The 15034-nt window shown below is 37.7% G+C and overlaps 1 protein-coding gene across 19 annotated transcripts in view; it reads left to right on the forward strand.

Annotated features, from left to right (window-relative positions):
• Positions 1 to 15034, forward strand: part of NPAS3 (neuronal PAS domain protein 3) — an 869389-nt gene that overhangs the window by 565417 nt on the left and 288938 nt on the right. The window lies entirely within an intron of this gene.

A 15034-nucleotide genomic window follows, 5' to 3' on the forward strand; every position in this document is an offset into this window, starting at 1 on the left:
AATGCAATACCACGTAAAGGGAGGTTTATTTTTTTGAAGCTAGGAAGGGCGGGGTTGGGAGTTTAAGAATCCCAAGAAGTGGCATTTTTAGTTTGAAGCTGGAGTTCTCTGAAGGTAAAGCTACATGAATTTCTCTCTGGGGTGTCTTTCAAAGTAGGTTTATATGCTCCGAGGAAAAGATAAGGGGAACAAGGAAGTCCCTTAGCCTGATTTCCCAAGTCCGATCAGTGCAGCGGAACCATCTAGAAGGCTGCTACAGATGAATCGGGTGTGGTTTTTAAGTAACATGAAGATGACCCAAATGATCTGGACCAGCAGAAGGCACTTTTTCCGGGACCAAGTTGTTGTTATTGTTGTTCTTTCCATCAAGAAAAGAGTTACCAGAGGAGAATACGGCCTCATTCACAGAAATACTATGCAAACTTCTTTAGATATGATTCTTGTCTGGCTTGGATGTTTGTTACATCAGCTTTAAAAAACAAAACAAAACAAAACCTCTTCAGTTGTGGGCTCTCACTTTCTGAGGCAAATCCCTGTCAGGCAGGGTAACCATAAGCAGAATTTGTTGTTTTTGGTAGAATATGATCTCCAAACATGTTTTAAGTGCAATCCAAACTAGATTTAAATGTCACCGATGAAAAGAGAAAAGCCAGCAGTCCGTTGTAAGAGCTGGTGGGTCATCACTGGCCTCTTGGCCCAAAGAATATTCAACACAGAAAAATTCCACAAGATGGGAATAGGCTTCCTTGCTAATTAGGAACAACTTATAAAATAAAAACCTTAGAAAATGTTTATTTAAAAAATATTCATACTTAGGATGTTGTCTTTCTCTTTGATTTACATCAAGAGAAATTATTTTTTGTGATTCTAATAATGTTAGCTACCAGAAGTCATATCAATATATTTCCTTGAAAATAAATCCTTACAGAAATGATATAAATTAGAGTGTGTGTGCTAAACATATCCCATCTCTCCATCCATTCTATTAGGCACTATTTTAATGAAGGTTTTCTTTACGCAGGAAAACAAAAAGTAAAACAGAGTATATCTGAAGATTAAAGTCAATAATAAAAGGAGCAATACCCTCTTTATGGTGGTAGCCTGCACAGCTCAGTAATAGGTATTTTGCATAATCTATAAATAGTTTGATTTATTGTCTATTGGGGCAGTAGTATTAAAAGGTGGATTTGAAATCCAAATCTGTTATTCTCCTTAATGTTTAACATTTACTTTAAAAATTTATTTTTATGTAATAATATATTCTACTAAATATTGGCCACTCTCCTTCACAACAATAATACACAACAAAGTAACATGTTGCAACCTTCCTGTTACCCTCTCTGCTTTCTCTCATCAGATATTTTGAATAGAATCTTTCAGATTCCTATTTCTTGTTTTATATTAGTCTCCCTTCTAGAATCTGGATTTGTTTTTTTTTTTTTTACCTTCAAAAACGGCTCCTGTGTCTAGATTTCAGGTTCATGACTAGGGTGTTAACAGTCCTGAGCTGCTTCTGAACCTTAGCAGCAGGTATAGCCTGCAGCAGCTCAGGGAAGAAAGGCTCTCCTAAGACCTCCTTTAAGAGATCTGATGTTGATTTCTAATTTCTGTGTTGGACTTTCATGTGCTAGGTGTCACAGTCTCAGGAAGTTGTATGTCACAAAACAAAGAGATAACTGCGTTGGGAACTTTCTCTGGAGCACATTTATACGTTAAGATAAAAAGTGAATCATTATTCAGGGAAAGGACCCTGTGAGTAAACCCTCTAATGAGCTCAAGTATCATTATTTCATCTAATTCATCCAATTGCTCCCCATCCAAAAATTAATTTCAAGCCTTGAGGGTAATACAGGAAAATAAAATATTATTTATGGGTTCCCAAATCTATAGCAGCATTAAAAATGATCTTTGTACTTATTTTAACACCCCAGGTAGAATACACTGAAAGTCTGCTAAATTAAAAGCAAATGGCAGCTGGGGTTAGTGAAAACAGTGGGGTGATTTATGAAAAGCACCTCTTTTTTTCTGTTTCTAGCTCTAATTTAAGTGCATTTTCTATGGCTCTCCCCCATTTTTTTTTTAACACTTTGGCTTTTTCCTCCCCTTTTCTTCTCTCCTCCCAGTGGAGAAGGATCCTTCTATGCTGCTAGCGCCCTGGCATTTACATCTAGCTTCTTACCCATCATCCTCATTGCTGTTAGCCAAAGATGAGCTCCTGTGCTGCTCTTCGTTGGGGAGAGCCCTGTCCTGACCCGACTTCTGCTCTCTGTTCACTTGTGAAGTAGTCTTAGTTGTATCTTTGACTTCGTGTGTTTTCTTTCTCTGCCCAAAATAAAATGATTGCAAAGCCAAATTCTGTTCTTACTTTCTAGAGAACTTCCTCCAAATAGGTTCGTTTCTACACCTCTGCTTACCCCTGTTATGAAGTAGTATTTTTGTTTTTCTTCTTCAACGTAATCTTCTCCATCTCTTCTCTTTACTGCTGCTGCGCCATCTCCAAGCCTCTTTCCTTAAATCTTCAGAATATCATGTGCTAAAACCTTCTCCTAGTTTCCTTCTCTTCTGTCTTACAGTCTATCCTAATAACTTACTGCAAGCTGTCCCCCACCCATAAAAGCTGCTTCTATTTCTTACCAATCCGTCTCTGCACTGCAGATTGAGTCACTATGTTTTGGGTCTTGCTTGAAGTAAGAACATTTCATTCAGTGATTTATGGAAACTTGCAGATCTAGAATATCTAACACACTCCAAACTCAGCCACTCACACAGCAACTATACCATCTATACTCTACTCTCCTTGTTGCCTTTTCTTCATGAGTATAGTTCAAGCAGTTACTTCAAAAAATGGCATGTATTAAGTTCTCTCGAGATTTATTCTTTGTTAAATTTCTACAGTAATCAGAATATAACCAGGAATACACATAAAATGATGGCAGAAAAAAATATCAATGCAAAAACCAAAAGTAATTGCCTTTGTCTTCTTAAATAGATAAGTGAGACATTAACTGGAATATATAACAATATCAACAATTATAGTAGTAGCTGCTACTCCACACTATGTAATACTCTAATATTAGTCATATATTCTAAATGGCTTGAGTTCCCATGCCAGTTGAACCACTTACTAACTCAGAGGCAAAATACTTATAATGACTATAATAATGTTCATGCCATTGAATGGTTTTAGGGACGAAGATAATGTATGAAAACATGTTTACATGTGGTAGTTGCTCAGTAAGTGATCAGAAAAGAAAATAGCAAGACCGTAATTGGTGAAACCGAGTGATACCTTTGGATTCCACAGCGCCAGTGTGCTTTATATAATCCAGTTAACACAGAGCTTCTCCAGGCCATATTGTGCTATTTCTTGCTTCTTTCAAAAAAAAAATGGCACGGCAATGGGGCAAAGCCTTATATTCTCATATATAGTTTATTGAGCCTCATTAAAAATGTAATTCATTAAAAACTGCATGTTCTAGAGAGCTTGATGAGAAGAAATATGACTTGATACTTGGGGAAAATCCAGCCCCTGCCAGAACAGATGAAGGGAAAGCTGAAGGAAGAAAATTACTCCCAACCGAATCTTTTTCCTACATTGCTTTGTTTATCCTTTTACTCTACATTTCATTTTTCCCTTTAGGGGGAGAATTTATTTAGTGTACAAGGAAACATTCGTAACTCAATAGTAAAGAATTAATTGCTCTGCTAAAAGCTAATTGGTAGAAAGAATAACTAAATATTTTTAGAAAAGGTCCTATGTACAACAACCTTATCTAGACGTTATGTTATCTAGACATTATTCCAAGTGTTGTAAAAATTAGTATCAGTGCAAAACTACAATTACTGACACCCACCGCACATAGGGTGTTGGCCATTGCTTCCAGAATTTTCCACACATTAAGTATAGAAAAGCTTAGAGACCTAATACTTCAAGTCTAATCTTTTTAGCAGAGAGACTTACCAGTGGATCTCAAGTTCCATGCTTCATCATACATGAGGACCCAATTATATGTAGCATGGACTGAGCAGGCTACCATCTTGAATTCCTCTGTGAGCTGACTTACATTGCCAGGCCTTTTTTTCTTATGTTGTGTGTTACTGTGCTTAGCAGAAGGTTTTATATTGCATGTGCTTTGAGGACTTCACAAATACCATAGAATATGTAATGCGTTTACAAAACTACCAACAATAAAAGCTGGCATGAGCTTTAAGAAATGTGATTCCCAAGACTTTTATATTTCTAATCATATGCAGAACAAACTGGTTTTAGCTTCCTTGGCATATGGGATGGAAATTCTCTAACAGTCCCTTTGTAGCATTTCAAATTGGCTGGCCATTTTAAAAGGTAACAGCCCTTTTGCAGTAGAATTAAATGAATTAAATTGTTAAACTTAAGTAGAAGATTTTATGAATTGATGTATTTTTCTTCAGTTCCCTATTCAGAGTTGCATCTTTAAGGGCTGGTTTAAGCAAATATTTATTCAGCACCTACTATGTGTTGGCAATTCTTCTGGCTGTCAGGGAAACGGTGCAAAATAAACACAGTCCCTGCTATGGTGATGTTTTGAGACTTTGGGGAAGTTACAGACAAGTAAATTGGCAATTACAATTACTGCTATGATAGCAGAAGACCAGCATGCTATGGGATTCTACGTGAGGAACACCCAGTAACCCAGACTTGGAAGACAGCTGAGAACTACGGAGACAGATAGGAATTAGGCAAAAGAAATGGGGAGAGAAAATGCTTCAAATGAATGGGAGAACATATGGAAAGACCGGCCAATAATTTATGTCTCTCTCAAGTAAATTGAATGAGTATTTTAGACAAATATTTGCTTCAGTACTTTAAATAAAAATTGTGGAAGTTTGGCAAGGTTAACAAGTTAATACACACAGCAGTTATTTAGGTATATATCATGGTCAGAGCATTCTCAGTATTTTTGGCAAAAGTTTGTTAATAACAAGAATACATATCAGCCAGCAAAATATTGACTATAGAGATTTAATATTTATTAACAGCTAAGAACTTATCTTATAATTTCAATTGGCAGCTCAAGATAAATATTATAGCCACATAATAGGTCCACAATTGATGGCAGTTGAATTTTTAATGGAAGAAAGTGGAGAAAAGTTGTACACTCTCTAGGGGAAAAAAATCAAGTTTCTTCATTCCAACTTTAGCAATTTCTGTTTTGATACCCTACAGACATGTTCCTTCGAAAGTTTTGAAGAAAGCCCACTTGCTGGAAATTCACATGAGCTGAAATAACATATGAGTTATTAAAAGGTCTTTCAGCAGAACTGGGATTAATTTCCATATCCCTCAGGAGCCCATCTGCACTCCCTTATCACACAAATGGAATTTTGGTATATGGGTTAAAAATTACTTACCAAAAATTAAATTAAAAATAACTGAGCCATAGTCAAATCAGCAAGCTGTATTTGTCTTATTTGTTTATTTATTCAAAACCGGAAAAAAAGAACAGAACTTTCCAAATTAGGGAAATTATTTCGTATCACCATCATGTCAAAGATACACAGTTGAACACCAATAGGCAGTTGCATTCAAATGCCCTGATGTCCATTGGCCTTCAAGATTCTTCCTGATTGGCCTCCATCTCCCCTCTTCCCAGGCTGCTTCTCTGACTTCACTTCCCACCACCCTCTCCCTTGTCTGCCCTCCTCTGGCTCACTGACCTTGTTGGAATATGCCAAGCTCACTCTTCTTCAGGACTTTTACATCGCCTTTCTTTCTGTCAGAAGTACTTCCTCCAGCCCCATATCCACGCGTTCTTTCTTCGAGTCCTCAAATGACATAAGACTCCCTTCCTCTCAGTATAAACAAGCAACACTCTATCTTATCCTGCTATGCCACCCTGCCACTCCCTATCCTCCTCCTTACCCCGCTTTATTTTTCACCATTTCCCATAGTGCCAGCCAAAATACTATACATTTATTTACTTGTTCGTCATCTGTCTCTTCAAACACAATACGGGCTTTATAAGCAAGGATATTTGCCTGTGTTATTTATTGCTCAATAAACAATCTTAGAACAGAGCCTGGCATATAGTAAGTGCTCAGTAAATATTTGTTAAATGAATAAAAGCTTAACTACAGAAGCAGGAGGTATCTTTCCTTAAAGGTATATAAATATATGACTTTCTGCAATTTGCAATGCTGCCCATATATAAGTGAAAGATACTATCCAAGTGATTAAATGGAAGGATTAAAAGGAGACTCCTTCCTTGTATCTCATATTTACATGTATTGTTGTTTTCATTTTTTGTTTGTTTTTACATTGTCAAATGCTCTCCACTAAATGGTAACAAATTATATGCTGGTTACAACATCACAGTCTGACATTTTTCCATCCAAACCATCTTCTACGAAATAAATCCACAAATTTTGTATTGATATGATTATAAGAGATCTTTGTAGACAATGTTAGTGTATGGTAGACAGCCAGAAGCCATAGGCTATGATCCAGTTAACTCTTTATTGTGATTATCATAAGCATTAAATATTTATTGACTATCTTGTTGTGCATATCACAAGGGAATAAAAATTCAGGTCTAGGTAGATTACTGTGTAGGAAGACAGTCTCCCCCCTAATTCCCCACACTTGAAGTAGGAATTTGTATGTTTTCTATTTATTTTTCTCCGTACTGCTGAAGGTCTTATTTCACTCCTTCTTGACTTTTAAAATTTCCTCCTATTCAATTGTAAACTTTTGAATCATTGAACATTTTGAATCCAACTATTAGCTTTTAAGTTTTAATCAGGCCAAAGGAGATCAACAATAAACTCAGATTGGAAAAAAAAAAATTGTATTGCTCCATGAGGAGTGACGTAAAAGAGCCATCTCTACTTCAACACATGAAATGTTGTGGGTGATGGACTATGATGTTCATTTTGTAGAATGTAATGAGCATGTGGAGTTTGTCACACCCCAACCCAAAGATCTAAGGATATTTCTGATATATTTGGGATGTTAGCCCAAGTAGAGAACGTAAGGATAGAATGCAGTTTTTTGGTTACCGGAGAGAAGTTAATGGAGGAGAAATGTCTCGTCTCAGAATTTGCTGCTGTTTTCCTTTATGTTTCTAGTAATATCTATTTGTGATCAAATAGAAATAGAAATAAATACCTTAGACTGCCATCTTGTGCAGGAAGTAAAACAGCAGGACATTCAAGTAAAAAAGAGTTTTATGTCTGTTTATTTGTGGCCTTTGAAACCTGCTTGATCTTTTCAGTCTTTTTGATCCTGAAGATGTTTGCCCACACCCTCCTTGTATTTTGTTCTCTGAATTGTTCATTGTTGTTCTTTCCCAAGCATAGTAAGGTTATTCTTTTTATTATATAACTAGTAGAAAGAGGCTTTGAAAATTTTCATTTTCAAATGGAATTCCAATTCAGTTTTAGCCTACTGTTCTCCCTCATTCTGAAATGTGCCCTGACCATGGAACATGGAATTTCTATCTAATTTTACAGAATTCAAATTATCGAGTTCTGTTTGCAAAACATTCTTGCTAAATTTCTTTGTCTAATAAATATCAAGAGTTAATTTTTCTCTGACAATGCTGTTCTCTTTTACTTCTGGTTTGGAGTCTGTGTTTTTGTACTTTCTCTTTGCTTGTTCATGGTACACACACATAAGCACTTTCTGGTTTTGATGTGCGATTAGTTTCCATCTTTAATGTGGATGTGGGTATATGTGGGTGTGTCTCTGTCATTTTTTTAAGACTAAGCCTCTCCTTCCTACTCCCCCTACCCTCATCAAGACGCTGAGAGGCTCAAGTTGCTGCCAAGGGACTCTTCCATGAGAGCACTCAACTTGCCATGGAAAAGTTTGCTAAGGTGCCATTCAATCTCCTAGTCTCCATAGCAAATAATATTGCCATTGTTTCTCCAGGAAAAAGCAGCCCGCATTCAGGTTTCCATGTTTCCTATGTTATGGCAAAACCAGCAGAGAAACCTTCCCAGTCAAAGCAGAATAAAATTTACAAGCAGTTTGCTTGGGCAAAGGAGCCAACTGCACACACACTGCTTGCTGTTTAATTCAGAACAAAATCATATCTGTTCTTATAATTACGTGACAAATCACGCCTTCCAGATGCATTACCAAATGCCTGAAGAGGTGAAGCCTGGATTTTCCTCAGCACTATGAAGCAGTGAAGCAATGCCGAAAAGGGGGCTTAGGGGGATACTAAGTACGAAGATGTAAGTTTGAGGAGGGATAGATAGCCAGCCAAAACCAGATTTATTGAACTTGCTGTTTTACACCATGTAAATCCAAAAGACTCCAGAAAGTAACCTTCTCTTTCTCTGAAAAGTGCAAATAACTCTGGGGTGAGTTCTTAGCATCCAGGAAGCCAACCACACACAGGGCTCACACAAACGCCTGGTTGGCTGTCATCCTCCATTATCCTCAGAGGGAATCAGTAAACAGAAGCTGCTTACAGCCAGGAAGGAGAGAGCCAGGTAACACTCTTACTGCCCGTGTGAGAGTATATATGATCATTTTTAAAGTGTACTTGATTGTTTTCATGACCCCACACAATTTCCTAGGCCTCCCTTAACTGTGGTATAGCTGAGAAAAGAAAACATTCACATCTAGATGGGGTCAGAGGAGTAGAATGAGCGTGGGAATGACCAGACTTTGACATCACTCTCACCCCTGAGCCTTCATCCCCTGACAGGCCCATGGGAGCCCTTAGCTGCCCTGCGGTCTCTGGCATGAGGTCTCTGTTCATGCTCTAAGAGTGATTTTACTGTTTCAGAGGGTGGTGGCCTGTTTGTCCTTCTCAAGAAAGGTGTGGTTCTACTCAATATAACCTTTAAAGGTTATCCAACTACTTTTTTTTTTTTTACCTGAGACTATATCCTATATGTAAGTAAGAGGATTCAATAGTCTTAAGGGGGTGGTATTATTAGCATTATGATTTCTGTTGTTATAATTGATTCTTGATCATATATTGCTTTGTGTTATCGCTTGGCAAATCATATTACACTGATGACTCCTTTGTTTTTATTCAACTTGTTACATTTTAATATGTGATTCTGCCATACAGATTATGAACTTTTCTAGGGCAAGAACAGAAGAGAATCTAAGCGCTATAAAGGAGTTGAGCAAATATTTGACCTACTCTTTCTCTTCTCCTCTATTCCATTTTACAGATGAAAAAGCTGAGGACCCAGAAATACAAAATGACTTGCCCTGATCCAGTAGCTACTTGAAAGCAGACAGATCTAAGACCTGGATCTTAATTTTAATCTCACTGTCCTCTGCACCCTTCTCTTCTAGTTCTTTCTTGTACAAATGACTATATAATTAAATCCTTCATTATGTGGATTTTCTGACCTAGAGATTCAGACTGGAATGACTGAGGGTGTGCATTAGGCTCAGTTAAGGAGACCTGGAGGAGGAGGTGGGACTTCCTTGGGGCCTTGCGTAATTCACTAGGTACTTGGAAGGAAAGAGTAACAAGTCCAGTTACTCTGGTCTTCAGTGTACTGGCAAGATCACTGAACTAATGTCGGGAAACCTGCCTTAACCATGAAATTAGGGCATGACTTCTGAAAGCTCTTTATGACTCTTTAGTCCATAGAGCCTATATAGATAGACGCTATCAGACTATGTTTATGACTTTGTCATTAGAATCTCTTTTGTGCCAAATTCAACTTAAGAGTTGTTGTGATTCCTGAGCTGGCCTGTACACTTATTTTTAAACGGGGAACCTAGCATCAAATCTAAAGTCTACCCTCCAAAGCTTTTATATCCTGAACCTATGTGCATGCACACTTTTTGTTTCCCCTCCCCCAGCACGCCCCGGGATAATAAAAATCAGAGGTCTGACAAAGGAGGAGAGCTCTCAGGACATGCTCCTCCATAACGGTCTTGCAATTTCCAGTGCGAGCTGGAGCAGTGCGATGTGGTGTGTGGTTGGAAAAGCAGTTTGTTCTCTGCTAATGACAGCTGTGGATACTGAAATGAAGCACAGCAGGTGGGACAGCGGTACTCAATTTTCAAAATCTGTGCCCTAAAATGTGTTTGCTTAAACCTTGTCTCACCACCCTTTAGGGGCCTCCACATCCATCAAAACCAGACCCCAGGAAAGGAATTCAGGCTTCTATTTCTCACTAGCGCTTTCACAATCGCTGCTATGATTCAGAGGTTGTCTGGAAAGTTCAGTAGCCAAAAGTTCCCTCCTTCTTCCTAGAGTGATAAATTAAATCACTTCCAGTTCCCAGGGTGGGTGGAGGGGGGACTGGCCTTGCCTAGGTAGCCACAATAACTTTGAAAAGGACATACAATTCCTCACAAGCATGAGTTAACAGCATTATGTTGTAAGGAATTCATTTTCTCAAAATAATACATGGGTAAGGTGTTAATAATGCCATTGGCTGTTTCTGAAAGCCATGGATGAGGAAAGAAAAGTTTGCATTTTCTGCGTGTTGGAAGATTTTAAGCTTTTCAGGTGTAGTGCGTTACACTAAATTCTTACATTGACTTTTTATATAACGTGTGCTTACTGGAGAACTACCGCTTTCCCCTTCTAAGGTGAATGTGGATGCATGGTGTAGGTTTGTAGAGTGTTATTAAGATATTTAGAAAGTTGCAAGGCAAAACGTACCCCCTCAGGCAAATGACTGATGCTTTATGTGTTCTTCTTTACCAACATGTTGAATGATCTTTTTTCCTTTATGTTTTTCAGTGGTCACTTAGGCATAGGTAGAGGGGGTTAATGAGCTTTCAGCTCTTACCTGAGCAATTTCTTAGGTGGGTACCTCCAGTAATTCTGAGAGTGCTTGTGTTGTTTTAAGCTGGTGTTGAGTGGATAATTTACCAGAAACTCCTAGTTTCATAGTTCTTTTACTTTTTGAATGTTATTTTTCTTCAAGAAGAAAGTTTTCAGCACAGCGTTCAGGTGCCTTGTGTTGGGGGAAATCCTCTGAGAGCAAGATCTCCCAAGGGAGATGCAGATGGCACAGTTGTGAATTCAACAGACTTTGCAGAAACGCATCAGACTCTTCAAATCCAAATGCATTATCTTTCCATGTAATTCAATCACCTGTTATTTTATGGCTCTGTTTGATTTGATTAAAACCTCAGCAACCAAATCATTTGTATTATACATTATACAACTTCCTATTTTTATTTCCATCACTTTTGATCCCTTTCGGCAGGTTTCACCAGACAATTCAATTATGAACTGTTTTAGAAAAATTACAATTTAATCAATAAAGAGAAAGGGCCAAATTTCTAAACAAGATCGAAGGATATAAAACAGCACAAAAATTACCTTTATTTCAAAAGGTACATTTGGTGACATTTTTGGCATGTGGCCGCGCTGTTGTATCCTCTTTGGTGGTTAGATAGATGACAGCCACTAGTTTCTTGTGAATTAAAAGAATGTGATAGATAAAGACTTAATTAAAATAAACAGAATCCTGCTCACTGGTAGGCAGTGAACTCTGCCAAGAATTTTATGGGAAATAAATGAAGCTCCTGAACTTAAGAAGGGACAAAGAATGGAAGTATGTGCTTTGGTAGCAAGACTACTTGTCCTTGTATAGAAAGAATGAATTTTTTTTCCATGGGACATTTACTATGATAGCAGGTATTTTTGGTTTTGTAGCATTCTACTTCAGTGTGGCTCAAACATTAGCATGCATCAGAATCACCTTGGAGGCCTTGTTTAAACTCCATTGCTGAATCTTACTTGGAGAAATTCTGATTCCTTTAGGTCTAGGATGTGGCTAGTCAAGCTTCCAGCTTCTGCTGCTGGTCCACACAGCATGGGTTGAGTAGCACCACTCTATATAGGAACCAATTTTGAACAGTCTTGCACTTTTTTATTAGCTTGTCCATTGCCATGGTGACAGAAAGAATGCCTCTGCCATAGATGAACAGCACAAGCTTAAAGAAAAACTAGACTGAATCTTTTTTCCTATGTTAATTTGCGTTTGTTCATAGCATTTTTAATATCATACTAATTTTTAATCTTGGATCCAAGCTAGTTGGCTCAGTGTGTTTGTAAATACTTCTCCACATCAAATTTGTAGAACATCTTTTTTTTTCGCCCATTGAGGTCAGCATAGTCTGTGACATGGCATGTTGTTTTCCTGCCAACTCACAGAAGTGAAGAAATCCATTCAACACCCGAGAAAAGTTTTGTAGGACTTTACAGTGTTCCCTGCTTTGATCTGAAACAAGAAGAAGCTGACATTAGTCACGTATTTTACTTTAGACAGCTACTTCCAGATTTGTCAGATCAAAATATCTTATAAATGACTCAAATGTTATAACAAATGGTTCAAACCTCATGGCATTTGTGGAAAACAATTTAATGGGGTCCCTGAGCAGCTACAGGATAAAGAAATTTGAGTTATGAACTCTAGCAGCATTTTGATGTGGGGTTTGCATTCTGGTGTGCCTCTGTGTGTACTAAGTATTTCTCTCTTTGTAGAACTTCTGGTTTCTTCTGTGGCAAGGTCAGAAACAAACATGCCTGCATTTTCCATAGCCTCTGTGGCTTGGCAAGGAATTTATTTCTCGTAGATGTGGAACTCTCTATGTAGATATAAAGATGGAACCAACCTTAAAGAACATCTGATTTAGACTTCTTATTTTACAGATGAGAGAAAAAATACACTTCAGTGACTTTTATATCACTGTATATTTTTAAAGTGCCATTTCTAAATTTAGAAGGTTTTGAAAATTAATTTCAAGGTAGGTTCTTATGAAAAGGAAGTTAGTTGGTAACCCCCAATGTGTTTGCAATTTTGATGCTCTTTCTCCAGCAATAAGAAGTTTTACCTCGAATTCAGTGGATGAAAAGCCAATATCCTTAGCATAACTGTTTTTGTCATTGGTGGATGACAGAACTTTAAAAAGGAGACGTTAGGACCGTTCACTCATTGACAGAAGGGTTGTGGGGCACCTAGCCATGTAGTGCCTAGACTAGGTAAGTATTTTTGTCATGTGGTTTAACATGAAGTTGACAAAAATTTTTTCATTCCAATACTCATGAGCTAAGGTCACAGACAGTGGATTGATCAGATTCTAATGAACATATATATTCTAGTGAACACTGTACACATAGTTATCTGTAGTACTCTTCTTGGTAACAAATTAGAATTCTGTTATAAGACTGTCACACTAACACCACCACAATAATAAAAGTGATGATTTATTAAGTCCTTATGTGTCAGGCACTTTGCTAAGCACCTTGTATGATTTGTTGTCTATTAATTGTCACAGCCAGCCTTTGAGTACAGTAGGTATTGGTTCCATAATTATATAATGTTAATAAGTACTGTTATTATTTCCATCCTGTAAAAATAGAGCTGCACCTTAGGGAGGTCAAGTAACTTGCCCAAGTTCACACAGCTACGAAGTGGTAAAGCCAGGATTTAAAGCCAGGTCTTTCCATCATTCCAATCTATTAAACTCTGCCACCTTCCAAGGGAGTAAGAAGGATTATGTTCTCATGAATGAAGAGTTTAATACAAATTCAAGCTGAATGGGCAAGTGTTTTTTTCCTTCTTGACTCCTATGATTTGCTGCAGAGTTTTTTTGACAAAGAAAAAGCTCACGCTCTGGATTTGTGGGGACTTGTTATAAAAAGTCACTCTTTTTACTAGCCGCGATGAATGTATTTTTTCCCCATGGGGGAGAAAGGTTTGAGAGGGGTGAGGTGGTTAGAAGAAGTTGGAGGAGAAGACTTGCATGCCCAGGCTTGCTAAAAAGCATGTACCCCAGGCGCAAGAGTAATTGTTTAATAATTCTTCCTCCTAATATATTCATATCCACCGGGGGCCAGTTTGAGAGATGATTAGGTCACAAGTGAAATGAGTTTGGTGGTCTCAGCATAATCCCCCTTGGACATGAGTTCACTCACACAATTGCAGTACAATTTTGTCCATGTCTGCATTATTGTCTGCTTCAACTCAGGAGATGCTCAGAATTGAATTAACAAGGGGCTCCGGGTCAGTCTGAAGGTGTGCAGAGGCAACCCATGGTATAAGGAATAGTGCCTTGTCAACGGAGTTGCACATAGACAGGGCAGCTTGTCCCACACCTCTTTGTCTCTAAATCCAACCTCCTATCCCTCTCAAGTAGATAAACAGTGTACACTCTAAGTTTCCAGCCTCTCACCAAGTGAGGTTATCTGAGTCACAGATAAGGGCCATCCAGTTATTCCTGCTTTGCACTTAGACTGATTTGGATATATAACCTTTACCAAGACGATTGTGATGCCCAAATTGGTTGCGTTGCTTCCCTTGGTGAATATTCTTCTCCTAAAAAGGCATAAGTAAGTTGATGAGGAAGCAAAATCTCCTGAGAAGTTAAAAATAATTTAATCTTATCTAATCTCGTCAAGAAGGTTCCACAAAATTTAACAAATTGAATTTGAAATTAGAACATGAAAGAAAGAAATTATATCATGAAATAAAACTCTGTCAAATAACTAAAAGATCGTACTGTACCTTATCCTAAACACTTGCTACTCTGTCATAAAAACCTTTAAGATTGAACTGACATACCTGTGATTATTTCATTATATGATTATTATAAACTACTGGATAAATTACCCATTAAAGTCATTTTTAATCCAATTAAAATCATGACAGTTCTAGTTGACTCAATTCAGTCTCCTAAATCATCTGTAGAAAATACTGTAGAATAAATTAAGTGCCCAACAGTTAATGTCCTTTTGCACAGTATTTTAGAATCATAGATGTTTGGGACTAAAAGGGACTTCGTATTTAGTCTAACCCCATTTTATATGGAAGAAACTGAGGCACAGAGATTATGACTTGCCCAATGTTACACAGCGAATCTGTGACCAGAATCCAGGTGTCTTCATTTTTAGTTTAGTTCTGGCTCTGTCGAGCCAATTATTCTCATATTTTTTCAGCTGTAACATGCATGTGTGTGCACACACAAACACATAGCATGGCTACTTCCACACTCACTTCATACCCCTAGGTTATATTCAGGGATACCTACAATTCCCAGCATTCCAGT

The sequence above is a fragment of the Homo sapiens genome, chromosome 14 (assembly GCF_000001405.40).
Source record: "Homo sapiens chromosome 14, GRCh38.p14 Primary Assembly".
In the NCBI taxonomy this organism is placed as follows: Eukaryota; Metazoa; Chordata; class Mammalia; order Primates; family Hominidae; genus Homo; species Homo sapiens.